We start from the raw sequence: 26,495 nt of genomic DNA, 5'->3' as shown, positions 1-26,495 counted from the left end.
GGTGGAATGCTCTATAAATGTTAATTAGATTAAGTTGGATTATTGTATTGGAATCTTCTGTATTCCTATTGATTTTCTTTTCACTATTTCTATGAATTCTTAAGAGCAGTGTTGAAATTTCCATCTATAGATGGGGATTTGTCTTATTTTTTCTTTTAGTTTCCTTTTTTTTTGAGATAGGGTGTCACTCTGTTGCCCAGGCTGGAGTGCAGTGGCACGATCTCAGCTCACTACAACCTCCGCCTGCCAGGTTCAAGTGATTCTCCTGCCTTAGCCTCCCTCAGCTGGGACTACGGGTGTGCACCACCACACCCAGCTAATTTTTGTTTTTAGTAGAGATGGGGTTTCACCATGTTGTCCAGGTTTGTCTCGAACTTCTGACCTCAAGTGATCCGCCCGCCTTGGCCTCTCAAAGTGCTGGGATTACAGGTGTGAGCCACCGTGCCATGCCTCTTTTAGTTTTCTTGATTCATTGTTTCTTTCTCTCTCTCTCTCTTTCTCTCTCTCTCCCCCTCTGTCTCTCTCTCTCCCTCTCCTCTCCCTCTCTCTCCCTTCCTCCCTCCGAAAGTGCTAGGATTATAGGCATGAGCCACCATGCCTGGCTGTTTTATGTATTTTTGATTTTATATTATTTGGTGTGCATATTGGGATATATGTTTTCTTGATGAATTCACTCTATCGTTACGCCCTTCTTTATTGAAAGGTAGTTTGGTAGGTATTAAGTTTTTGGTGTGTTGTAGCACTTTATAAATTTTGTATTGTATTTTGGCTTAGCATAGCTTCTGGAAGTCTATGATTTTTTTATATTTGTTTCTCTGAATATAGTGTGTCTTTTCTTCAGGTCGCTTGACAATTTCTTACTTATTACCATTTTCCTGCTGTTATCATGTACCTTTGAATAGTTTTGAATTTATCCCTTGGGGCTTACTGTGATTCTTAGATGCCTGGGTTATAGTTTTCAGAAAATTTGGAAATTTTTCATCTTTATTATTACCTCCTTGAGGATTTTTTTTTTCTCTTTTTGTATTTCTGACACTCCAGTCACATATATCTTGCATAGCTTAATATTCTCCCACAGTTCACTGAGAATGTTCCCCCCCTTTTTTTCTGTTTCCTTTTGTATAATTTATTTTGCTTTGTTCTCAAGTTCAGTGATCTTCTGCAGTATCTAATTTTGCTTTTAATTCCATGAATGAAACTTTTATATCAAATATTATAATTTTCATCTCTATATTCCATTTGATTGTCTTATTTTCTTTTTTTGAGATAGAATCTCACTCTATTGCCCAGGCTGGAGTGCAGTGGTGCAATCTTGGCTCACTGCAACCTCCACCTCCCAGGTTCAAGCGATGTGCCTGCCTCAGCCTCTCCCGAGTAGCTGGGATTACAGGTGCCCACCACCTCACCCGGCTAATTTTTGTATTTTTAGTAGAGATGAGGTTTCACCATATTGGCCAGGCTGGTCCTGAACTCCTGACCTCAAGTGATTCACCCGCCTCGGCCTCCCAAAGTGCTGGGATTACAGGTGTGAGCCACCGTCCCTGGCCAATTCTCTTATTTTCATATATTCATGTCATTTAGATTTTTGGGCATATTGAATATTTCTACAATAGCTGTTTTTTTAATCTATAATTTCTGGGTCTGGGTATAGTGAATTATTTTTCTTCCTGTTTATTGGTCATGTTTGCCTGCCTGCCTTCCTCCCTCCCTCCCTCTCTCCCTCCCTCCCTTCCTCCCTTCCTCTCTCCCTCTTTTCCTCCCTCCCTCCCTTGCTCTACCTCCACCCCCACCGCAAGGCACGAGTGCCTTGGCACAATCACAGCTCACTGCAGCCTCGACCTCCAGGGCTCAATTGATCCTCCTGCCTCAGCCTTCTGAGTAGCTGGGACTACAGGTGTGCACCACCATGCCCGGCTAATTTTTGTATTTTTGGTAGAGACAGGTTTTTGCCATGTTGTCCAGTCTGGTTTCCAACTCCTGGGCTCAAGTGATCCGCCTGCCTTGGCCTCCCAAAGGCTGGGATTATAGGCATGAGCCACTGTGCCTGGCCGTATGTCTATTATTATTATTATTATTATTTTTTTTTTAGACAAAGTCTGGCTCTGTCACCCAGGTTGGAGTGCAGTGGTGCAATCTCGGCTCACTGCAACCTCCACCTCCCAGGTTCAAGTGATGTCTTGTGCCTCAGCCTCCTGAGTAGCCGGGACTGCAGACACGCACCACCACGCCTGGCTAATTTTTGTATTTTTAGTAGAGATGGGGTTTCACCATGTTGGCCAGGTTGGTCTTGAACTCCCAACCTCAGGTGATCAGCCCACCTCCGTCTTCCAAAGTGCTGGGATTACAGGTGTGAGCCACCACGCCCGACCTCTCTATTAATTTTTATTGGATGCCAGACATTGTGACTTTTATCTCGAGTATGATATTTGTGGTATTCATTTAAGAAGTATTGAGGTGGCCGGGTGTGGTGGCTGATGCCTGTAATTCCAGTACTTTGGGAGGGCGAGGTGGGCAGATCACCTGAGGTTGGGAGTTCGAGACCAGCCTGGCCAACATGGTGAAACCCTGTCTTGACTAAAAATACAAAAATTAGCCAGGCGTGGTGGTGCACGCCTGTAATCCCAGCTGCTCGGGGGGCTGAGGCAGAAGAATCACTTGAACCTGGGAGGCAGAGGTTGCAGTGAGCCGAGATCATGTCACTGCACTCAAGCCTGGGCGACAGAGCAAGACTCTGTCTCAAAAAAAAAAAAAAAAAAAAAAAAAAAAAGAAAGTATTGATGATATTTCTGTATTTCTGGCAGACAGCAACAGCATTACTTATGGATCATTTTTATAGTTTTCTGACTTGTTTTACAATTTTTTAGGATAAAAAATAGGATAGTTTGGCCTTGGTGGAGTTCTATCATTAAAGCTTTACTCTTTTGGGGCCTGTTCTAAATCTGCCATATAATCAGTGAGGTATCTCCACTCAGACTGGTGATAGCTCCAATGATTTTGGCCCACTGAGTTCTAGAAATTGTTCTTTCCCCAGAAGAGTTTCTTTGGCTTTGTGGAGTTTTACCCTGTGCGTGGGCAGGTTGTGGTATTAAACCAAAAACCTGAGTGAACCCCTTTGCAGATTTCCAGAGTTCTTTGTTGTTTAGCTTCCTCTTCTCCAGAATTCTGATCCGGAAATTCTAGCCACCTAGCCTTCTCAAACTTCAGTATGGCAAATTTTAGTGATCCCACCCAGGTCTGTGCTCCTCTTCACTGGGCAGTAGTTTATAAGTTGTCTTCTGGCAGAATTCTGGGTCATTTAAAATCTCATTTTGTTTATTTCCTTTTCCACAGTCCTGTTGCCCATGTAGTCTAATGTCTGAAAAAATAATGCAATGCATATTTATATGTTTTGTCTAGTTTTTGTAGTTGTATATGGATGTAGGTTGTTTGGACCTGTTACTTCCTCATGAGTGGAAATATAATTCATGCCACTATAGTTTTAATGTGTATTTTTCTTAGTATGAGTGAGGTTGAGCATGTTTTCATATCTTTCTTTCTTTTTTTTGAGACAGGGTCTTACTGTGTTGCCCAGGCTGGAATGCGGTGGCACAGTCATAGCTCGCTGCAGTCTCAAATTCCTTGGCTCCAGTGATCCTCGTGCATCTGCCTCCTGAATAGCTGGGACTAGAGGCATGTGCCACTATTTGTAGAAAAATCGACCCTTTTTTTCCTGTGACATTAGTTGGAAGCATTTTTTTCCCAGTATCCCATTTGACTTTTGATTTTCTGATGATTTTTTTTCCATAGTTTTCAAATATGTATTTTAGTTAATTGTTTCTTCCAATTGCTTATATTTATTATCTTTAGTGTTTTTTGGACATATCTGGGTGTTCCCCATTTAATTCTCTATAAATGCTCCTTATTATTTTATTAATTCATTTTTTTTTTAAATTTGAGACGGAGTCTCACTCTGTCACCCAGGCTGGAGTGCAGTGGCACGATCTCGGCTCACTGCACCCTCCATCTCCTGGGTTCGAGTGATTCTCCTGCCTCAGTCTCCCGAGTAGCTGGGATTATAGGCTCCCGCCACCACACCCAGCTAGTTTTTGTATTTTTGGTAGAGATGGGGTTTTGCCATGTTGGCCAGGCTGGTCTCGAACTCCTGAACTCAGGTGATCCACCCACCTCGGCCTCCCAAAGTGCTGGGATTAGAGGTGTGAACCACTGTGCCCCGCCCATTAATTCACTTTTGACATTTCAGTCTTTTATCCATTTGGAATGTATTGTGATATGAGATTTGAGATATGAACCCACTTTTGTTTATTGCCATGACACCTCTTATCTCTGTAAAGGATCAGATAGTGAATATTTTAGGCTTTGTGGGCCATATGATCTGTGCCTTTGCAGCTAGTCAACTCTGCCCTTGTATTGTGAAAGCAGCTATAGTTAATATGTAAGTGAATAACTGGCTGTGCTTCAATAAAACTTGATCTATAAAAAAATGGTGGTGAAGCAGATTTGGCCTCCCAATTGTTTCCTCAGCCCTGACCTAGGCTTAAGAATTCTGTTGGAAATTATGGAGAGCGACTAATCCATGTGGAAAGAAATATGCCTTTTTATGTTGACTATTAGGAAAAGTGACAGAAATAATTTAAGAATTTTTGTTAAGCTGATATTCTTATAAAATTTGGAAACTTCTCACAATTTCAGAATATTCCTCTGAGATGCAAGCGAAGGTTGAGCTACTTGTGACTGAAGGCTCAAGCAAAAGACAACTTTTAAGTATAAGGGAGTTAATAAAATAACTGCTGATTTTACCTGGCTATTTTCTTATTAATTACTTAATAATATTTTGTTTTTTCTATAGATGATGGATTCATTTATAGGTTTAAAAAAACATTTCCCTCCTGTGTCTTAGAAATCAGATTGACCAGTGCTTACTCTTCTAGTATGAGCGTTTAGTTGCTGACAGCACTGTTTTGCCTCAGAGCCAATAAAAAGAGTAAGATTTTTTGTTTTTCTGAGATCAGAGCAACTTAGAAATTGGAAATGTTTGAATTATGGCTTAATATTGGCTTAGAATTATTTTACACTTAATTAAATTAAATTTTAAATTAAAAACTTTTGTATACATTCCTGTGTGTGTTGTGTTTTTTTTTTTTTTTTGAGTCGGAGTTTTGCTCTTGTTGCCCAGGCTGGGGTACAATGGGGCGATCTTGGCTCACTGCAACCTCCACCTCCCAGGTTCAAGCGATTCTCCTGCCTTAGTCTCCCAAGTAGCTGGGATTACAGGCATGTGCCACCACACCCAGCTAATTTTGTATTTTTAGTAGAGACGGGGTTTCTCCGTGTTGGTCATGCTGGTCTCGACCTCCAGACCTCAGATGATCCTCCCACCTCGGCTCCCAAAGTGCTGGGATTACAGGGGTGAGCCACCGCGCCCGGCCCATTCCTGTGTTTTAAAAGTCAAAAATATTGAGAAGTCTCATTCCTGCATTGTCCTTGTGTATTCCATGTTCCCCTTCCCTTATAGGTGGTTGCTTTTATCAATTTCTTATGTGTCTGTCTATCCAGTGATTGTTTATGCATATATAAACACACGTGACTATAAGTCATCATTTTCTCTTTTTCAGCAAGAGCTAGCTTGTATAGTTATTTTATATTTGGCCTTTTTGTAGTTAACAAATTTGATAGTTGAAGATCTTTTCATATTATAACATAGTCATTATTTTGCTTTTGATACCCCCCTTTTTTGGGTGGCTCCTTATTCTGGTTTTTCAGAGGAAGATATGACACATTCATTAAGGTGATTCAATATAGTGCATATCTAAATAATATATCATTTGTTCTCTTGCTAGTCTCAGCGAAATGTCATTTGCTCTTGTGTTAGTCTCTTGTCAGTCTCAGAATCTCTTTATAGCCTTCAAAATTATTGATAGCCCTAAAGAGTTTTTATTTATGTGGGTTATGTATATCACTAGATATCAAATCAGAAACTAAAACTGAGAAGCTATAAAAGTTACTTACTTTTGGCTAGGCGTGGTCGCTCATACCTGTAATCCTAGCACTTTGGGAGCTGAGTGGGCAGATCACTTGAGCTCACCAGTTCAAGACCAGCCTGGGCAACATGGCGAAATTTGTCTCTACCAAAAAAAAAAAAAAAAAAGAAAAAAAATTTAGATGGCTTGAGCCTGGTAGGCAGAGTTTGTAGTGAGCTGAGATCATGCCACTGCACTCGAGCCTGGGTGACAGAGCCAGACCTTGTCTCAAAAAAAGAAAAAACCAAAAACACCCCAGACACCAAAAACCAGCCAACCAACCAAAGTTATTTACTGTTAATTTATTTAAAAATAGCAATAATAAACCCATTACATGCTAACATAAATGACATTTTTAATGAAAATAACTATCTTTCGGAACAAGAAGAGTATGAGAAGAGTGGCATTTGTTATAGTTTTGCAAATATCTTTAATGTCTAGCTTAATAGAAAATAGCTGGATTCTCATATCTGCTACTGCATTCAGTGTTGTGATATGTTGTTTTGCTTGAAGCATATGGAGAAAATCTGGCCTCACCCAGATGTAAATTTGGAAGAGGGAGGAGTATTTTATTTAATTTTTTGAGACAAAGTCTTGCTCTGTCGTCCATGCTGGAGTGCAGTGGCATGCTCATGGCTCATTGCAACCTTGACCTCCTGGGCTCAAGCGATCCTTCCTACTCACTTTCCTAGTAGCTGGGACTATAGGTGTATACCACCATGCCCGGTTAATTTCTGTATTTTTTGTAGAGACAGGGTTTCACCATGTTGCCCAAGCTGGTCTTGATCTCCTGGGTACAAGTGATCTTGTCTACTTCGGCCTCCCAAATTGCTGGGATTACAGGTGTGAGCCACCACACCCGGCCAAAATTATTTAATAGACTTTCCAGATACTTATGGATAGCCATATTTAACGCTATACTGAAACTCTACATGCGGTAGTTCCTTTTTTAAAAAAAATCATTTTATTGAGATATAGTTGATAAGTTACATATATTTAATATATCTATGAAAGTCAACACAATCAAGATGTACCTTTTGAAGGTAATTTCTTAAAGATTAATTGCAGTGTAGAATTTGAAACCATCTCAGTAAAGTTTTCATATTGTGTTTTCATTAAGATCTATGAATCTAGTTGGTTTATCCTCCACTTTGGTTGTATCTTTTTTCCTTGCAGGAATTTTCAAACATCATGCATTAGTCAGTTGGAAAATATTTGTTTATTGAGTTACGCAGATCTTCTAAATGTTTACACATTTCATTATTTGTTGTCAAAGAATCACACCTGTTAATATCGTCACCATTCTCTTTAGAAAAGTGTTTTTGACTTGGGAAGTTGTTAAGCCCATAGTGGTAGAAACTATGTTTTGCAAAATTCGAATTTTTTCGAAGCTTAAATATTGTTGGTTACTTTCCCTGATGTGACAAGCCCACTAGTCATTTTCTTTCTTTCTTTCTTTTTTTTTTTTTTTGAGACAGAGTTTTGCTCTTGTTGCCCAGGCTGGAGTGCAATGGCGCGATCTTGGCTCACCGCAGCCTTTGGCTCGGCTCACCGCAACCTCTGCCTCCTGGGTTCAAGCGATTCCCCTGCCTCAGCCTCCTGAGTAGCTGGGATTCCAGGCACATACCACCATGCCTGGCTAATTTTGTATTTTTGGTAGAGACGGGGTTTCTCCATGTTGGTCAGGCTGGTCTCAAACTCCCGAACTCAGGTGATCTGCCTGCCTTGGCCTCTCAAAGTGCTGGGATTACAGGCGTGAGCCACCATGCCTGGCTGCCCACTATTCATTTTCAAGGAAATAACTTTCAGATACCCAAGAGTAAGTAACTAGTTGTTCTTTCAAGAGAAATGGTGGTCTATAAAAAAGCACAGTTCAGCTTGCAACTCTCATAAGATGCTTTTTCTTGAGACAGCCATCTTTCTACCCATTTAAGTGCACAGAATATTAAGAAGTTGTATACTTAAGGGCAAAGATTTAATGTGTAATATTTGCAGCTATATCAAGGACATTCTTAAGTGAAACTGGCTTTAAAAAATTTGGTGAGTGTTTGGTAATGAAGAATGTAGTGACTACTACTGTAGTTCGGTGCTACTGCTAATGAGACAACAGCAGTTTTATCCAATGTTACTTTTTAAATTTTTTTTATTTTTTTCGAGACAGAGTCTTGCTTTGTCGCCCAGGCTGGAGTGCAGTGCCCCATCTTGGCTCACTGCAACCTCTGCCTCCTGGGTTCAAGGGATTCTCCCGCCTCAGCCTCCTGAGTAGCTGGGATTACAGGCGTGTGCCACCACGCCCAGCTAATTTCTGTATTTTCAGTAGAGACGGGGTTTTACCATGTTGGCGAGGGTGGTCTCAAACTCCTGACCTCAAGTGATCCGCCTGCCTCAGCCTCCCGAAGTGCTGGGATTACAGGCGTGAGCTACCATGCCTGGCCCAATGTTACTTTTGAACCTTCAGGGAAAATCCCAATACAGTGAAAGAAACAAATAATATTTTAGTATTATTCTCAAAGTGGTTTTGGTCTGGAGGACCTTCTGAAAGGTCCTGCAGACTTCTGGTATGTAGAAATCCTTACTTCTTTCTTGGCAGTTGAAAAAGAAAAAAAGAAACCAAGAACTCTTACCAACTTAATCTTGGTTATCAATCTTAATCTCTCTGTACATACTGACTCCTCCAAGTCCTTCCTACTAACACTCTGCGCATACTCCTTCCATTAATTACAGTGGCTCATTTTGGCATGATTCTCAAGAATCATGAAGTAATTTATAAATTACAGGTGATTTTATTTTTCGTCCTTCACCTCAAAGTATGGTGAAGGATGATTGGAAACCTACTGAATTAGAATTACTGCTAGCTGGGACCCTATCTGCTTTTTTTACCATACACTAAGGTGGTTTTAATATATAGCAGTTAGAAAACTACAGCTTTGAGGCCTTAGGAAGAAAACTAGATTGCTCAGAATAGAGGATGATATCATCATTATCATTTTTGTATTTATTGCTCAAAGTGGAAGGTGACATCACCACTATAATCTTTGTATTTTCAACACCCAGAGCTATCTGGCACAGGGCAGGAGCTGGCCAAATGCTTCATGAATGATTGAATGACTAATATGACTAGATTATAATGTTATTTGTCTGACACCAGGTTTCCAAATTGAATGATGACAAATTTAGCCTTACATTGTGTATTAAATAATATTTACAAGTGTATGTTTTAGAATTTTGAAAAATGTAAATTGGTTAATATGACTGTACTAGTTAAAATCATTAATGATTTTTTAATTGTACGTAAGCTTCTTATTTCAGCCCACATGATATGGCCTATGCCTACCTATCCTTCCTAGTCTTTTGTCATTCTCCTTGTTTGTTGTGTTTTAGGATTAACAAAACATTTGTTGGTCCAGGCAAGGTGGCTCACACCTGTAATACCAGCAGTGTGGGGGGCTGAGGTGGGAGGATTGAGGCCAGGCCTTTGAGACCAGCCAGGACAACATAGCGAGACCCCTTTTCTAGAAAAAGTAAAAAATTAGCCAGGCATTATTGTACACACTTGTAGTCCCAGTTGCTGGGGAGGCTGAGGTGGGAGGATTACATGAGCCCAGTAAGTCAAGGCTGCAGTCAGCTTTGATCCTGTCAGTGCTCTCTAACCTGGGTGGCAGAGTGAGAACACATCTCAAACAAAAACAGAAAACTTCGGCCATTGTTTTCTCCCTAATTGTTGCAACATGCTACACTCTTTACTTTAGGGCCCTTGCATTTGCTGTTCTCTCTTCCGAGACATTGCTTTCCCCAGCTCTTTTCTTGACTTTTCTTATCCTTCAAATAACAATTTAGTTGTCGCGTACTTAAAGGTGCCTTTCCTGTTTTTTTGGAAGTAGTCTGTTTTCCTCTACTGCACATAGAATAGCAGTGAAGTAAATATTTCTGTTTGTTTCTTTTATAGTGTTTATCACAATTTGAAGTTACTTAAGTTGTTACTTACTGTCTGCCTGTCTCCTTTAGAATATATGCTCCATGAGAATGTAGACCTGCCTGTCTTGTTTACTGTTCTATCTTCATAATCAGAAACAGTCCTGGTACTTAATAGGTATTTTGCAAAACTTATTAATATGTTTATAAATAGGTGAATGAATGAGTGAAAAGGATATATGAAAGAAAATTATTTTGGTTACACAATAAATAATGAGTGAAGGTAACAGTTATATTATTATTATTATTTTTTTTTGAGACAGTGTCTCACACTTTCGCTCAGGCTGCAGTGCAGTGGCGCAACCTCGGCTCACTGCAAGCTCCGCCTTCCGGGTTCATGCCATTCTCCTGTCTCAGCCTCCCGACTGGCTGGGACTACAAGCCCCCGCCACCACGCCTGGTTAATTTTTTTGTTTGTATTCTGTCTCAGCCTCCCGACTGGCTGGGACTACAGGCCCCTGCCACCACGCCCGGCTAATTTTTTTGTTTGTATTTTTAGTAGAGACGGGGTTTCACCGTGTTAGCCAGGATGGTCTCGACCACCTGACCTCGTGATCTGCCTGCCTCGGCCTCCCAAAGTGCTGGGATTACAGACGTGAGCCACCGCGGCTGGCCAACAGTTATATTTAAATTTAAAAACAATAGGCAGTAGTGAGAAGGGAAGAAAGAATAGAACAGGGAGTTCCATCTGTAACTGACTGTGAATAATCTATTGAGATAACTCACAGACAAGCTATATAAGTATATATATTTATATACTTAATAGAGTTGGGATCTTGCCATGTTGATCAGGCTGGTCTTGAACTCCTGGCCTCAAGCAGTCCTCCCATCTTGGCCTCCCAAAGTGTTGGGATTACAGGTCTGAACCACTGTGCCTGGCTGCCAAGCCAGCTATATTTATTAGTAAAGATTTTGCATAAATAACTTTGTTCTGCTAGATTATTAAGTTAAACATTACATGCATATGAGGACTTCTGGTGTATAAAATTGCTTGTGGAATATGACATTTTCTATTAATAAATGAGTAAATGTGATTCTAAACAATTGTTAAAAGCCATGTAAAGGAGAGCAACACTAATTCTTGGTGGAAAATAAGTATGTAGGCTGGGTGTGGTGTCTCACGCCTGTAATCCCAGCACTTTGGGAGGCCCAGGTGGCTGGATCACTTGAGGTCAGGAGTTCACGACCAACTTGGCCAACATGGTGAAACCCTGTCTGTACTAAAAATACAAAAATTAGCTGGGCATGGTGGCGCTCGCCTGTAATCCCAGCTACTCTGGAGGCTGAGGCAGGAGAACCACTTGAACCCAGGAGGTGGAGGTTGCAATGAGCCAAGATTGCACCACTGCACTCCAGCCTGGTGACAGAGCGAGACTCCATCTCGATAAATAAATAAGTAAATGTGTAAATGAATAAGATTAAAATCCTTGCTGTTTATAATTTTCTAAGAATCATTTTGTTATTTATTTTAGGTAAACACTTTCAGCGTTTATAGATTTTATTTTAGGGACTTGGGAATACATATCTCTTATTTTCTTAAAAAACCAGTGGGGACCATGTTTTACTGTGTTGTAAAATAGTGACACTGTCAGGATTTAGTGAGGAATTTGGTGATATTTGCCTGCTCTTTAAATGACCTCAGATTTCTGTACTATTCATGTTTATTATTATTTTAATGACCTTTTAGTTTGGAAAGATTTTAGATTTACTGAAAAGTTATAAAGATAGTACAGAATTTCTGTATATTCCTCACCGATTTTCCCCTACTGTTAACATCTTACAGTAACATCTTACTCTTACATGGTACATTTATTAAAACTAAAAATAGTAGTTGGTCAGTACAATTAACTCCAGATTTTATTTGATTTCACCAGTTTTTACACTAATGTCCTTTCTTTCCTTTTTTGCTTTTTTTTTGGTTTGAGACGGAGTCTCGCTCTGTCGCCCAGGCTGGAGTGCAGCGGCACAATCTTGGCTCACCGCAAGCTCTGTCTCCCGGGTTCACACCATTCTCCTGCCTCAGCCTCCCGACTGGCTGGGACTACAGGTGCCCGCCACCACGCCTCGCTAATTTTTTTGTTTGTGTTTTTAGTAGAGACGGGGTTTCACCGTGTTAGCCAGGATGGCTCTTGACCTCGTTATCGCCCGCCTTGGCCTCCCAAAGTGCTGAGATTACAGGTGTGAGCCACTGCGCACAGCCCACTAATGTCCTTTCTCTGTTCTAGGATCTTATCCAGGTTACCACATCGTGTTTAGTGAGCCTGTCTTTAGTCTTCTCTGATCTGTGACAAATTGTTAATTTTTCTTTGTTTTTCATGACCAAGACAGTTTTGAGACACTGTCAGGCATTTTGTGAAATGTTCCTTCATTTGGATTTGTCTGATTTTTCCTCCCCACCCCTCTTAATTAGATTGGAGTTACGGGTTTTGGGGATGAATACCACAGAGGTATAATGACCTCATCATATATTGGGGTTACATTAAATTAATGTTGGTGAGGTTAACTTTGATCGTTTGGTTAAGGTAGTAAGTGTTTGCCAGGTTTGTCTGTTGTAAAGTTGCTATCTTCCTTTTGCCGTATTCTGTTCTTTGGATGTGAGTCGCTGAAGTCCAACCCACACTTTGGATGAGGAAATATTTGCATACATTACTTGAGTTCTTCTCTAAGGAAGATTTGTCTCTGCCCCTCCCCCACTCAACTTATTTATATCCGTATGGACTCATGTATATTTATTTTGTACTTTGGAAGGTAATCCAATCCCACACTATTTTGTTGCTCAGAATTTTTCAGCCTTAGCTATTGGGATTATTTTTAGGTTGGTACCTGAATCCTTTTGGCATGTTCCATTCTTTGGACTTTTAAGCACTCTCTTGCTTTCTTCAAGATGCTTCAAGCTCATCTTATATTTTCCTGCCCTGTGGGTAGAATGTTCTATTTCTCCAAGGAGCCTTGCTTTCTTTTATTGGGAAATGATATTTAGAAACAAAGATTTGGGGCCGGGCGCGGTGGCTCACGCCTGTAATCCCAGCACTTTGGGTGGCTGAGGCAGGCGGATCACCTGCGGTCAGGAGTTCAAGACCAGCCTGACCAACATGGAGAAACCGTGTCTCTACTAAAAATACAAAATTAGCCGGGTATGGTGGTGCATGCCTGTAATCCCAGCTACTCAGGAGGCTGAGGCAGGAGAACCGCTTGAACCCGGAAGGCGGATGTCGCAGTGAGCCGAGATTGTGCCACCCTCACTCTGGCCTGGGCAACAAGAGCGAAACTCTGTCTCAAAAACAAAAAAAACAAAAAACTAAGATTTGGGCATTGAATGTGTTAATGGCTACTGGGTATCACTGCTTCTAAGTCCTGTCAGGGGACAGAGACAGGAAATATATTTATTTATAGTAGCATATGTACACACATATCTCTTTCTGTATCTATCCATTTTTATGTATATTAAGATTTAAAAAAATTTTTTTTAGGCAGAGTCTTGCTCTGTTGCCCAGGCTGGAGTGCAATGGCACGATCTTGGCTCACTACAACCTCTGCCTCCTGGGTTCAAGCGATTCTCCTGCCTCAGCCTCTCGAGTAGCTGGGACTACAGGCGCCCATCACCACACCCAGCTAATTTTTGTGGGTTTGTATTTTTTTTTTTTCTTTTTTAGTAGAGATGGGGTTTCACCGTGCTGGCGAGGCTGGTCTTGAACTCCTGGCATCAAGTGATCCACCCACCTCGGCCTCCCAAAGTGCTGGGATTACAGGCGTGAGCCACTGCACCTGGCCTATGTATATTAAACTTAACATGAGTTTGTACTCATTTCTCCAACTCTAATCCAGTACCACAGGGCTTGTTTTACTGTTTTCCCTGTACTTATCTGTAACTTCTCTCCTCAACATTGAGAAACCTGGCTCCCACCCACCATCTACCATTCATTTTACCTATTTGTTCAATGCCAGTATACATGAAAAGCAGGTGTAGAACTGTTAACCTATACCTCTGTTTGAAACAAATTTACCAGCTAGAGTATAAGTTTTTATACAGCTTTTGTGCCTTTAGCGTTACAATTTCTAATCAAAGCATCATTTCCCAAAGTTAAGTAACTTTGGGAAGTTCCTGAACTTCATACGTATCTTTTTTTTTTTTTTTTTTTGAGACGGAGTCTTGCCCTGTTGCCCAGGCTGGAGTGCAGTGGCGCGATCTTGCTCACTGCAACCTCTGCCTCCTGGGTTCAAACGATTCTCCTGCCCCAGCCTCCCGAGTAGCTGGGATTACAGGCGTTCACCTCCATGCCCAGCTAATTTTTGCATTTTTAGTAGAGACGGGCTTTCACCACGTTGGTCAGGCTGGTCTCAAACTTCTGACCTCGTGATCTGCCCGCCTCGGCCTCCCAAAGTGCTGGGATTACAGGCATGAGCCACCGCGTCTGGCCTTTTTTTTTTTTCGAAGACAGAGTCTTCCTCTGTCACCAGGCTGCAGTGCAGTGGCATGATCTTGGCTCACTGTAACCTCCGCCTCCTGGGTTCAAGCGATTCTCCTGACTCAGCCTCCCGAGTAGCTGGGATTACAGGCACCCACCACCAAGCCCAGCTAATTTTTGTATTTTTAGTAGAGATGGGGTTTCACCATGTTGGCCAGGATGGTCTCAATCTCCTGACCTCATGATCCACCCACCTTGGTCTCTCAAAGTGTTGGGATTACAGGCATGAGCCACCGCGCCCGGCCAGTTGTATCTTGTATTTGTAATACTGTTAGATTCATTTGTCACCATCTACATTTCATCCTAGGATATCCTGACGTATTGGTAAATTTTTTTGTTTGGTTAACTTGCATACATTAAAGTTCATTATTTATGATTTCAGTTATATGGGTCTGACAAATGCATAAAAGTCTATTTCTTTGAAAAAAATGTGTGTATGTATAGATAATTTCTTTTAGGTGTCATTATGCCTGTTTGTAGCAGTCTGTTGCTTTCCCCCTGGTTGTTGGTTTTCAAACAAGATCCTGTGGTTGGGTGTTTGGAAAATAAATTTATTGGAATTGAGTGAAGTTAAGTCTTGAATTTTTGGGAACTTTCTTGGGAGTAAAATACATGAGTTTCCCTTGTATTAACTAAAATGTTGATTTTGTTAAGGCAAATAAATGCTTTTCTCCCTTGGTTCTTGTTTGTGGTTTCATTTGAAGTTTGAATATAGGATTAATAAATATCACAATGTTTTAGAAAAATTAGGCCAAATGTGGCAAGGAAGAACATTTGTTTGGTGATTATTTTTAACATTTGGATACATGGCTTTCATGCCACAAGTCAGATAATATATTGTTTAGGTTTTAAGGCAGAGAGATAGGTTTAAGTTACCTTAAGTAGTGGAGATTTATTATGGGAAGGTAAATGACATAAAAGTCCCAACTGCTGCATAACAAGGTGTCAGGAAGACAGAGAGTGGTTGAGGAAATGGGCAGTCATTGAGGAAACCAGGGAGCTCTAACTACTTTACTCTAACTACTCCTGCTGTGGTTCTCAACTAGAGGCTGTAGTAAGAACTGTCTGTGGGGCCCTCCTTCAGATCTGTTCAGTCAGTCAGTCTTCTTTAGTAATGGGGATTGTCTGTTTTCTTCTAAAACTCTGTATATGATTCTGATAAACACTTCTTCTCTACTATTTTGACATTAGGTTATTCAAGGTCAGTTTCTTCTGAATTGGTGTACGATTGACTATTTAAACTGTGTGAGGGAGATGGGAAAGAGTTGGACACTGATTAGTTTATCTAGTCACCACGTTTAATTTGTATAGAACTCTTGCTGCTGAGACTACCGTATTGGCTGCTGGCTCTTCCTGATTTAGTCATCTGTTGCTAGATGGAAGGGTCCTGTGATATTATGCCTTATATTACCATGCTTGGTACTACTTGCCTCTGCATTTGGCTGTGGTCAACAAGTAATGCAGAAGTGACTAGAAGTTACTATAGATATGGGTTTAGAGGTGGCTTTTCTGTGCAGGTAGAAGTTAAATTGAAATCCCAAACGCCGTGACGTTCTCAGTGGGAGAGTTTTCCTTTTAGAGGGAATGTATGGCTGAAATACAGTGAAAAATGTTGGAGAAGGAGGCTAAAACTGTATCCTATATCATCTTATATAGGATTGGTAAAATAGTTTGTGTTTTATTCTAATTATGATAGGAAGCCATGTGAAATGACAGAGTTCAAGTAATTTGACTCATGCATTTAAAAATGTTATAATGGAGCAATCATTGAATGAAGAACAATGACTTAAAAATAAAAAAAATCTAAAAATTATATATTTATTTTTATAGACAGGGTCTCATTCTGTCACCTAGTTGCTGCAGTGCAGTGGTGTGATCGTAGCTCATTGCAGCCTCCAACTCCTGGGTTCAAGCAGTCCTCCTGTCTTGGCCTTCCAAGTAGCTGGGAATGCAGGTGTTTGTCACCACGCCCAGCTAATTTTAAAATTTTCTGTAGAGTTGGGGGTCTTGCTTTATTGTCCAGGCTGGTCTCCAGCTCATGGCTTCAAGCAATCCGCCTGCCTCATCCCCTCAAAGTATTGGGATTACAGTTGTGAGTCACCATGCCTGGCAAAATATTTTAAAATTTCCTTGCTAATGTAACTTTGGCATCAATATAATTTAGTCATTAGTTTCCGTTCTTTTTAAATTTAAAAGTACTGTTTTTAGATAACTGAGTTAAGACAGTTTTTTTCTTTCTTTTTTTTTTTTTTAAATTAAGACAGTTTCTGATTTGGACTTGGATATAGTCTATCTATAGTTTGTCCATTATCTGTTATATTAATAAATGGCTAGTTTCTACATATCAGTCAATAATTATTTACTAATTACATAGTAACATTTCACAGGGAGTTGAAGTAGAAAATAAGTACAAACGAGCCCCTGCTACAGTTCAGAGGAGCCAACACTAGAAGTTAGCAATATCTATCTTTAAATTGTGATTTTTCTGACAATCATCAACTAAAGCAATGGCATGGCATTCCAGTACCATGGTGTTTTTAGCTTGCTTTTTGTTTTTTAAAATTCAGACTCACAGTTTTTTAATACTTTATTTTTTATTTTTAAAAAATTGGGATTAAAATTACATAACATTTGCCTTATTAACCATTTTTAAATGTATAGTTCAAGGCATTAAGTACATTGACATTGTGCTGTCACCACTGCTGTTTATCCATAGCAGATTCACAAATTTTGATGATTTTCTGAAAAACAGGAATTAAATATATTTTACTTAATATATGTAATTATTAATAAGTGTGAAACCTCATGTAAAGATCAGTTTAGTATTAGTTAACTTTTAGAGACAGCAAAGAAAAATAAAATGAACATTAGGGATAGCTCTTGCATTAAATGTTAGGATTCCTATATGTGATTATTGTTAATATTTTAATATCAAGTTATATAGTTAGGCATTGTGTCCCCACCCAAATCTTATCTTGAATTGTAATCCCCAGGCGTTGAGGGAGAGACCTGGTGGGAGGTGATTGGATCATGGGTCTGGTTTCCTCTCTGCTGTTCTCATCGTAGTGAGGGATTTCTCACGAGATCTGATGGTTTTATAAATGGCAGTCTCTTCTGGGCTTTTCTCTTCTCTCTCCTGATGCCATGTGAAGAAGGTCCTTGCTTCCCCCTCACCTTCTGCCACCTCCCCAGCCATGTGGACCTGTGAGTCAATTAAACCTGTTTTCTTTATAAATTACCCAGTCTTGAGTGGTATCTTTATAGCAGTGTGAAATACATCAAGACTTTTTTTTGGGGGGGGATGGATAATCATTTCATAGAATGGTAAAATCTGGGAAAATGTGATTCCATAGGCAAAGTATTGCCTTATGAAAAAAATTTTGAGACATACCTAATGTGTAAAGATGGCCATAATAGAAGTAAATTATTAGATGTTGCTTGGGAAAATATATTTCAAAAGAAAAAAGATACTGAATAACAAGGAGACAAATTAATGGTATCCAGTGTTTGGGGCTTTGCTCAAAATGAGAATATGCATTTTAGGCCAGGCACGGTGGCTTAAGCCTGCAGCCCCAGCACTTTGGAAGGCCAAGGTGAGAGGATCACTTGAGGCCGGGTATGGGCAACACAGCAAGACCCCATCTCTACCAAATATTAAAAAACTAGCCGGTCATGGTGGCGTGTGCCTGTAGTCCTAGCTACTCGGGAAGCCGAGGTGGGAGGATTGTGTAAGCTCAGTGAGCTATGATGATCATGCCACTGCACTCCAGCATGAGTTTCTGGATTCTCTTTAATAATTATAGCCAACATTTTTTGAACCTTTACTATATGCCAGGCATTTGCACTTGCATTTCTCTTTTATTTTATTTTTTTTGAGACAGAGTCTTGCTGTCTTGCTCAGGGTGGAGTGCAATGACCTGATCTCGGGCTCATTGCAACCTCCTCCTCCTGGGTTCAAGTGATTCTCCTGCCATAGCCTTCTGAGTAGCTGGGATTACAGGTGCCCACCACCACGCCCAGCTAATTTTTGTATTTTTAGTAGAGATGGAGTTTGACCATGTTGGCCAGGCTGATCTCGAACTCCTGACCTCAAATGATCCTCCCGCCTTGACTTACCACAGTGCTGGGATTACAGGTGTGAGCCACCGTGCCTGGCTGCATTTCTCTTTTAATACAGCGGTCATATGAAGAAACTGAACCTTGGGTTGTTCAAAGTCATGTAGTTGGTGCTGGTTTTTCAACCAGCTGACTCTGCAGTTGGAGCTCTTAATCACCATGTCATATTGTTTGTTTTAATAAAGCATAAGTTTTAATAAAGCAATATCCTAGATTATTAACCATGTATGTTTACTTGAATATAAAATATTAGAAAATAATTTAACTCATACTACATATTTTATTTTGTGAAGTTTCATAGTGTAAAATAAAAGTAAGGGTATGCTGGGCATGGTGGCTCATGCCTGTAATCCCATCATTTTGGGAGGCTGAATCATTTGAGGTCAAGAGTTTGAGACCAGCCTGGCCAACATGGTGAAATCCCACCTCTAACAAAAAATGCAGAAATTAGCCAGGCGTGGTGGTGGCGGTGGCAGTGGTGGCGCACACCTGTAGTCCCAGCTACTTGGGAGGCTGAGGCAGGAGAATCGCTTGTACCTAGGAGGCAGAGGTTGTGGTGAGCTGAGATCGTGCCACTGTACTCCAGCCTGGGTGACAGAGTGAGAACCTCTCTCAAAATAAATAAATAAATTAAATAAGTAAATAAATTAATTAAAAGCAAGATAATTTTAAGAAAATTCTCTAATGTGTAAAATTAAAGATGTTGTTTTCCTGCGGTCATCATTGTGACTTAAGGTTAAAGATTTTAGCCATGCATGTTGCTTAAACTATACAGTGCACATGATTGAATGTTACTCTTGTAAATAATATTTTTCAAGCATGAGAAGTCCTAAACCTTCAGTGGCTCCCCATTGACTGTCTGTCTACACAGAAAATGAGCAAACTGCTTAACCTAGGTTTTAAAGGGGTCAGCTATTCTAGCTTTCCCTTTCTCAACTATGCAGGTTTTTGTTTCATGAACTGAATTTGTCATATCCACTTCTATGCTTTTGTTCATGGCTTCTTTCTGTTTGAAATACCCTGCCGTCTTCTGCTTCTCTATTTCTGCTTTCTAGTTTATCCCTTTTTCTTCCCAACATTTTCCTTCTTCTGAACTCTAAATCCTTTATTAGGTGCTGTATATATCCTACCTTGTTTTATTTAGTTGTTTACCCAACTAGATAGGTCTTTTGATGGAAACGGCTGTTGCTGGTGCTTTTTTGTAGTTAGTGTCATATACACAAAGATCTCAATAATTGCTTGCTGGTAAAGAGGATAAGCCATATATGCAGTCTCAGTAATGTTGCTTAATTAACATTTTCATTTTGTTCATCCTGTCTCATAAATCTCGTTTATAATCTGAAAATATATACTCTTGCTTGAAATATTTTGGTGTTTAATTTCATCAGGAAATGAAAGACTCTCTAAAAGAAAAAAAGCTATATTTGTATTGATTAGCAAAAATAGCAAAAAAATTATGATCATAGTAATATGTGAATTTTTAGAAATGAATATTCTCTTGACAGTTGAGATATTTAATTATCCTTACTTTATATTGGTTCTGAAAATATATTCTTTCTTTTTTTTTTTTGAGACAGTCTTGCTCTGTCACCCAGACTGGAGTCCAGTGGTGTGATTTCAGCTCACTGCAACCTCTGCCTCCCAGGTTCAAGTGATTTTCATGCCTCAGCCTCCTGAGTAGCTGGGATTACAGGCATGTGCCACCATGCCTGGCTAATTTTTGTATTTTTTGTAGAGATGGAGTTTCACCCTGTTGGCCTGCCTGGTTTCGAACTCCTGGCTTCAAGTCATCTGCCCTCCTCAGCCTTCCAAAGTGCTGGGATTACAGGTGTGAGCCACCATGCCTGGCTGAAAATATATTCTTTATAGTTCTGAATTATACTTTCTAAGTTTGGAATGTACATGGAGAAAGCATTTAAGTTTAGCTTTTTTGTGCTGTTAGTGTTTTTCTACTTCCAACTCTATTTAAAAATTTTAAACTGTGAGAATTTGCTTCCCCATTTGATACTTTATCTTTTCCTCATCCATTGTTCAGTTGTGGAGTACTAATCTCAGGGGAAACATTTATTAAAAGTAATTGCAATTAAATTAGCTGGGTATGGTGGTGCACATCTGGAATCCCAGCTACTCGGGAGGCTGAGGCAGAAGAATCACTTGAATCTGGGAGAGGTTACGGTGAGCTGAGATTGTGCCACTGTATTCCAGCCTGGGTGACAGAGTCAGAATGTCTCAAAAAAGCAAAGAAAAGAAAAAGGAAATTTACTATATTAAGAGTCTTAGTTGGAATTAAAATTTCATATTCATAATTTATGGGCCACTTGAAGAGAAAGTGATTTGTATGTACAGTCCAACTCTGGACATTGTGGGTTCTTTTTTAATTGTCTCTATATTTTTAATATATGAGTGTATTTTTTAGTAATTTTTAGGAATGTGACTTGTTAGCACTAATGCTTATTTGGACATCATTTTCAGCATTTTTGATTTTTGCCACATTTAAATGTATCAGAGTTTAGACTCCTTTCTTAGCTCATCATTAAAGTGTTCTGCTTCTTAGGAAGAAATGAATCTAGGACACTACTGTCTTTTTTTCTAGGTACACACTAATGGATGTGGAAGCTAAGTGCTGTACTCTTGAGATCTGGGTGGCACCTCCCATGTGTCTAGGAGATAGAGAATGGGTTCAAGAGGAGTATGGGCTTTTACATAACTGGTCCCCAAAAGTCCCAAAATGTTTATATATTGCCTGCTGACTCCTCTGACCGTCACAAAGATCAGGAGATGAGAATTTTCTTCAAACTCTAGTTTTGTCTAAAGGAGCTTTGTCTCAGGAGAATGCATAATTTAGGTATCATCCTACTTACCAAACTGGTGTGCATGTGTATTTCTTTTTAAATAATTCTTTTACATTAGTTTTACTTTCCTTTTGCAGACTAAGTAGGAATAAACGTTATTTATTTATTTGTTTGTTTTTTTGAGATGGAGTTTTGTTCTTGTCACCCAGGCTGGAGTGCAGTGGCACGATCTTGGCTCACTGCAACCTCTGCCTCCCAGTTTCAAGCGATTCTCCTGCCTCAGCCTCCCGAGTAGCTGGGATTACAGGTGCCTGCCACCACGTCCAGCTGATTTTTTGTATTTTTAGTAGAGATGGGGTTTCATCATGTTGGCCAAGCTGGTCTCAAACTCCTGACCTCAGGTGATCCACTTGCCTCGGCCTCTCAAAGTGCAGGGATTACAGGCATGAGCCACTGCGCCCTGCCAATTTTTTTTTAAATTTTCATGGTATTCCTCTTATGGCTTAAGAAAATAATCAGCAGAGTACCCCTTAGAACTTTCATGATTTCACTACCAATTTTTTTTTGGTTTGTTTTTTGGTCTTTTTAGAGATGTATTTTCACTCTTGTTGCCCAGGCTGAAGTGCAATGGCGCAATCTTGGCTCACTGCAACCTCTGTGCCTCCCCGCAACCCTGGCCCCCCTGGGTTCAAGTGGTTCTCCTGCCTCAGCCTCCCAAGTAGCTGGGACTACAGGTGCATACAACCATGCCCGGCTAATTTTTGTGTTTTTAGTAGAGACAGGTTTTCACCATGTTGGCCAGGATGGTCTCCATCTGTTGACCTCGTGATCCACCTGCCTCAACCCCCCAGAATACTGGGATTACAGGCGTGAGTCACCGTGCCCGGCCGCAAATGTTTTAATTTTTACTTAGAAGCAAATTTGAGTCATTGGAAAAGTATATAACACCTTAAATATTCATTACATAAACCATCTTGTCAGGGATAAGTACCTTGGTTTTCTTAAATAAGTATATTTTGAATGTAAAACTGAAAATGTGATTTTCCAACCAGTATATTATAGTAATTGGCATTAAGTGTTGCACATTTAAATTATTAACTGCAAATGATGTCATAAATTGATTTAACTTTGTTGATTATCAGGCAAAAACATGGTGAATAAAGGAAGTGCCCCTATTTTTGTATTACAGAGGAAGTTAGCATGTTTTGTGAATATCCATGATATTAAACTGTTACAAAAGATTGGAGGGAGGGAGGGAGGGAGCGAGCGAGAAACAATTAGCAGTTTCTGCTTTAACTAATTTTTTATTTTTATCACACTTATGAACTCCTATAAAAAGATTTATCTAAATTGTCTTTTTTCTTTGTTGATTTTATTGAGGTGAAATTCATATAATACAAATTAGCAATTATAATGTGTGTATTTCATTGACATTTAATACATTCACAATGTTGTGCAACTACCACCTGTATCAAGTTTCAGAACATTTTTCTAACTCCAAAAGAAAACCCCTATTAAGCAGTCACTCTCCTTTTCCTCCTCTTATCCCCCATAAACCACAAATCTGCTTTCTGTTTCTATGGATTTACCTATTTTGGATATTTTACATAAATGATATGGTATTGTATGTGACTTCTTGTGTCTGGCTTCTTTCACTTAGCATGGCACTTTCAAGGTTCATTCACATAGTAGCATATATCAGTACTTCATTCTTTTTTATGACTGAATAATACTTTATTGTATGTATATAACACATTTTGTTTTTCCATTTATCTGCTGACGGACATTTCAAAAGACTGTTCCACCTTTTGGCTTTTGTGAATAGTGCTGCCATCAGTATTTGTGTACAAGTATCTCTGTTTAAATACCTGCTTTTAATTCTTTTTTTTTTTCTCTTCCCGAGACAGAGTCTTGCTCTGTCACTGAGTCTGGAGTGCAGTGGCATGATCTTGGCTCACTGCAACCTCCGTCTCCTGGGTTCAAGCAATTCTCCTGCCTCAGCCTCCCAAGTAGCTGGGATTACAGGCACCCGCCACCACACATGGCTAATTTTTGTATTTTTAGTAGAGACGGGGTTTCACCATGTTGGCCAGGCTGGTCTCGAACTCCTGACCTCAGGTAATCCACCCACCTCGGCCTCCCAAAGTGCTGGGATTACAGGCATGAGCCACTGTGCCCAGCCTGTTTTTAATTCTTTTAGATATATACCTAAGAGTGGAATTGGTGGGTCAGTGGCAATTCTGTGTTCAACATCTTTAGGAACTGACAAACTTTTCCACAGTGACTGCACCATTTTAGAGTCCTACCAGCAATATATGAGGATTCTAGTCTGTCTCTTAGCTGTCACTTGCCATTTTCCCTTTTTTAAAAATAGCCATCCTAGTAGGTATGAAGTGGTAGCTCATTGTGGTTTGATTTACATTTCCATGATGGCTAAAAAGGATGATCATCTTTTCATGTGCTTATTGGTCATTGTATTTCTTCCTTGGAGAAATGTCTATTTAAGTCCTATGCCCATTTTAAAATTGGGTTGTCTCTTTTGTTGTTGAGTTGTAAGAGTTCTGTATATATTCTGGGTATTAATCCTGTATGTGATTTGCAAGTATTTCCTCCCATTCTGTAGGTTGTCTTAGCTTTTTTTTTGAGATGGAGTCTCACTCTGTTGCCTAGGCTGGAGTGCAGTAGCACGATCTTGGCTCACTGCAACCTCCATCTCCTGGGCTCAAGCAATTCTCCTGTCTCAGCCTCCTGAGTAGCTGGGACTACAGGTGCACACTACTATGCCTGGCTAATTTTGGTATTTTTAGTAGAGAAGGGGTTTCACCATGTTGGCCAGGCTGGTCTAGAACTCCTGACCTCAAGTGATCCACCTGCCTCGGCCTCCCAAAGTGCTGGGATTATGGGGGTGAGCCACTGCATTCGGCCCATACTATTCTCTTATCCTTTTCTGTAAGGTAATTAGTAATGTCTTTATTAAATTGGCTTTTAAGTAGAGCTTTTAATTTTTTGTTGTTGTTATATCATTTCTTAATTTGGTATGTTTTTGACACAGCCAGCTTTGTTTCACTTGCTTCAGAAGGTGGGGAATTGAAAACGAATGAGTAATACAACATCCAAAAGTTACTTTGTACTGGATTTTCTGTATATGAGTTCAAAGAAAGGTTCATCAGACCACCAGACCATCTCTCTGCTACATCAGTTATAGAAACATTTGAGAGATTATTATAAAAAAAGGTATTTCACATATAATTTTGTGTAGTGCTGTTCCTAGTCTGCACCTTTCTGAATCTTGTAGTATAAGGCGCTTGATATAATTTTATATTATTGAATCTTCCACATGCTTGGTTTTAGTTATATTTCTTTTCTTTTCTTTTCTTTTTTTTTGAGACAGAGTCTCGCTCTGACGGCCAGGATGGAGTGCAGTGGCACGATCTTGGCTCACTGCAACCTCTGCCTCCTGGGCTCAAGCAATTTTCCTGCCTCAGCCTCCCGAGCAGCTGGGATTATAGGTGTGTGCCACCACGCCTGGCTAAGTTTTATATTTTTAGTAGAGATGGAGTTTCACTATGTTGGCCAGGCTGGTCTTGAACTCCTGACCTCAGGTAATCCTCCCACCTCGGCCTCCCAAAATGCTGGGATTACTGGCGTGAGCCACCTTGCCCGGCCTTAGTTGTATTTCTTTAAATTAGGTTTTTGTGCCTGTAGTTCCAGCTACTTTGCAAGGCTGAGGTGGAAGGTTTTTTTGAGCCTAGGAGTTCTAGTTCAGCCTGGGCAACACAGCAAGACTCTATCTCTAAAAATAATAATAAAAAATAAAGGGTTTAGGCTGGGCACGGGGACTCATGCCTATAATCCCAGCACTTTGGGAGGCCACAATAGGAGGATCTCTTGAGCCCAGGAGTGCAAGACCAGCCTGGGCTACAAAAAATTAAAAACAAATCATCTGGGCATGGTGATGCAAGCCTGTAGTCCTAGCTCGTTGGGAGGCTGAGTTGGGAGGATCACTTGAGCCCAGGAGGTCGAGACTGCAGTAAGCTATGATTGCACCACTGTACAACAGCTTGGGCAACAGAGCAAGACTCTTTTTCAAAAAAAAAGGTTTATGCTTACATTTTTCTGGGTGACTGTGCCTATGTTAGGTTTATGCCTAAGAAAGAGGGCCTACAATCTTTATAATTTAACAGCAAACATATCCTGCAGATGGTAAGAGATCCATATGAATGCATCAATGAGTAAATTAAAACATCTGAAAATGTAACAACAGCAAAATATTAAGGTGGCTTTTGGAGAGAGTTAAACTCTTTTGGTCTAATTTGTAGGTAATTATATGAAATATCTTTGTTTTATTTTGAGATGGAGTCTCGCTCTGTCACCCAGGCTGGAGTGCAGTGGTGTGATCTTGGCTCACTGCAACCTCCACCTTCTGGGTTCAAGTGATTTTCCTGTTTCAGCCTCCTACGTAGCTGGGATTTCAGGTGCCTGCCACCATGTCCAGCTAATTGGTCTATTTTTAGTAGAGACGGGGTTTCACCACGTTGGCCAGGCTGGTCTCAAACTCCTGACCTCAAGTGATCCCCCCACCTCGGCCTCCCAAAGTGCCGGGATTACAGGCGTGAGCCACCGTGCCGGCTGAATATCTTTGAACCTGCAATGTTGTTAAAGTGGTCAGTGGTATTAATAAAAAGTGTTTTGTGTATGCATTTGTGCTTTTTTTTTTTTGCTTCATCCTGGTGGGAATGATAGTGCATTTTGCGTGTCAATGAGAACTATACAGTTTGGTTAAAAAAAAGATGATAACAGATAGTAAACCTAAGACTCATCAGGAAGCCAGGTTGTATAACAGTGTCTAACATAGAATAGGTGTTTAATAAATGTTTGATTCAATAAAAAACCATGAAACTGCTTGAGTAGTTGGCTAAAATAAAAACGAGGCTGAGATCAACTAAATTAGAATTATGTCCTTTAAACAAGCTACATTTTCTAATACCATAATAAGATTACTGTAGCAAACGTAAAATTGTCGTGAGATCACAGGGGCAGAATTGTCCCTCTGGAGAGAGGGCTACTGAAAATTACGAAAGAGAGGCCAGGCGCGGTGGCTCATTCCTGTAATCTCAGCACTTTGGGAGGCC

General features: G+C 40.2%; 1 protein-coding gene across 21 annotated transcripts in view, besides 5 other annotated features; it reads left to right on the top strand.

The window, feature by feature from the left end:
• Nucleotides 1-26,495, top strand: part of MEMO1 (mediator of cell motility 1) — a 143,186-nt gene that overhangs the window by 14,292 nt on the left and 102,399 nt on the right. The gene's annotated exons all lie outside the window — the stretch shown is intronic.
• Nucleotides 11,508-12,007: an enhancer, noted in NCBI's record as "H3K4me1 hESC enhancer chr2:32209779-32210278 (GRCh37/hg19 assembly coordinates)". NCBI's record gives its function as "activates a minimal SCP1, AML or CMV promoter by ChIP-STARR-seq in primed H9 embryonic stem cells {active_cell/tissue: H9 hESC(primed)}" and the evidence as "EXISTENCE:reporter gene assay evidence [ECO:0000049][PMID:30033119]".
• Nucleotides 12,008-12,509: an enhancer, noted in NCBI's record as "H3K4me1 hESC enhancer chr2:32209277-32209778 (GRCh37/hg19 assembly coordinates)". NCBI's record gives its function as "activates a minimal SCP1, AML or CMV promoter by ChIP-STARR-seq in primed H9 embryonic stem cells {active_cell/tissue: H9 hESC(primed)}" and the evidence as "EXISTENCE:reporter gene assay evidence [ECO:0000049][PMID:30033119]".
• Nucleotides 15,498-15,597: an enhancer, noted in NCBI's record as "active region_15554". NCBI's record gives its function as "activates an Ori minimal core promoter by ATAC-STARR-seq in GM12878 lymphoblastoid cells {active_cell/tissue: GM12878}" and the evidence as "EXISTENCE:reporter gene assay evidence [ECO:0000049][PMID:35858748]".
• Nucleotides 17,410-17,610: a silencer, noted in NCBI's record as "peak3645 fragment used in MPRA reporter construct". NCBI's record gives its function as "represses an SCP1 promoter by STARR-seq MPRAs in K562 erythroleukemia cells {active_cell/tissue: K562}" and the evidence as "EXISTENCE:reporter gene assay evidence [ECO:0000049][PMID:32103011]".
• Nucleotides 24,043-24,122: a silencer, noted in NCBI's record as "silent region_11332". NCBI's record gives its function as "represses an Ori minimal core promoter by ATAC-STARR-seq in GM12878 lymphoblastoid cells {active_cell/tissue: GM12878}" and the evidence as "EXISTENCE:reporter gene assay evidence [ECO:0000049][PMID:35858748]".

The sequence above is a fragment of the Homo sapiens genome, chromosome 2 (assembly GCF_000001405.40).
Source record: "Homo sapiens chromosome 2, GRCh38.p14 Primary Assembly".
Lineage (NCBI taxonomy): Eukaryota > Metazoa > Chordata > Mammalia > Primates > Hominidae > Homo > Homo sapiens.
This window is presented reverse-complemented; position numbering and strand designations above follow the sequence as displayed.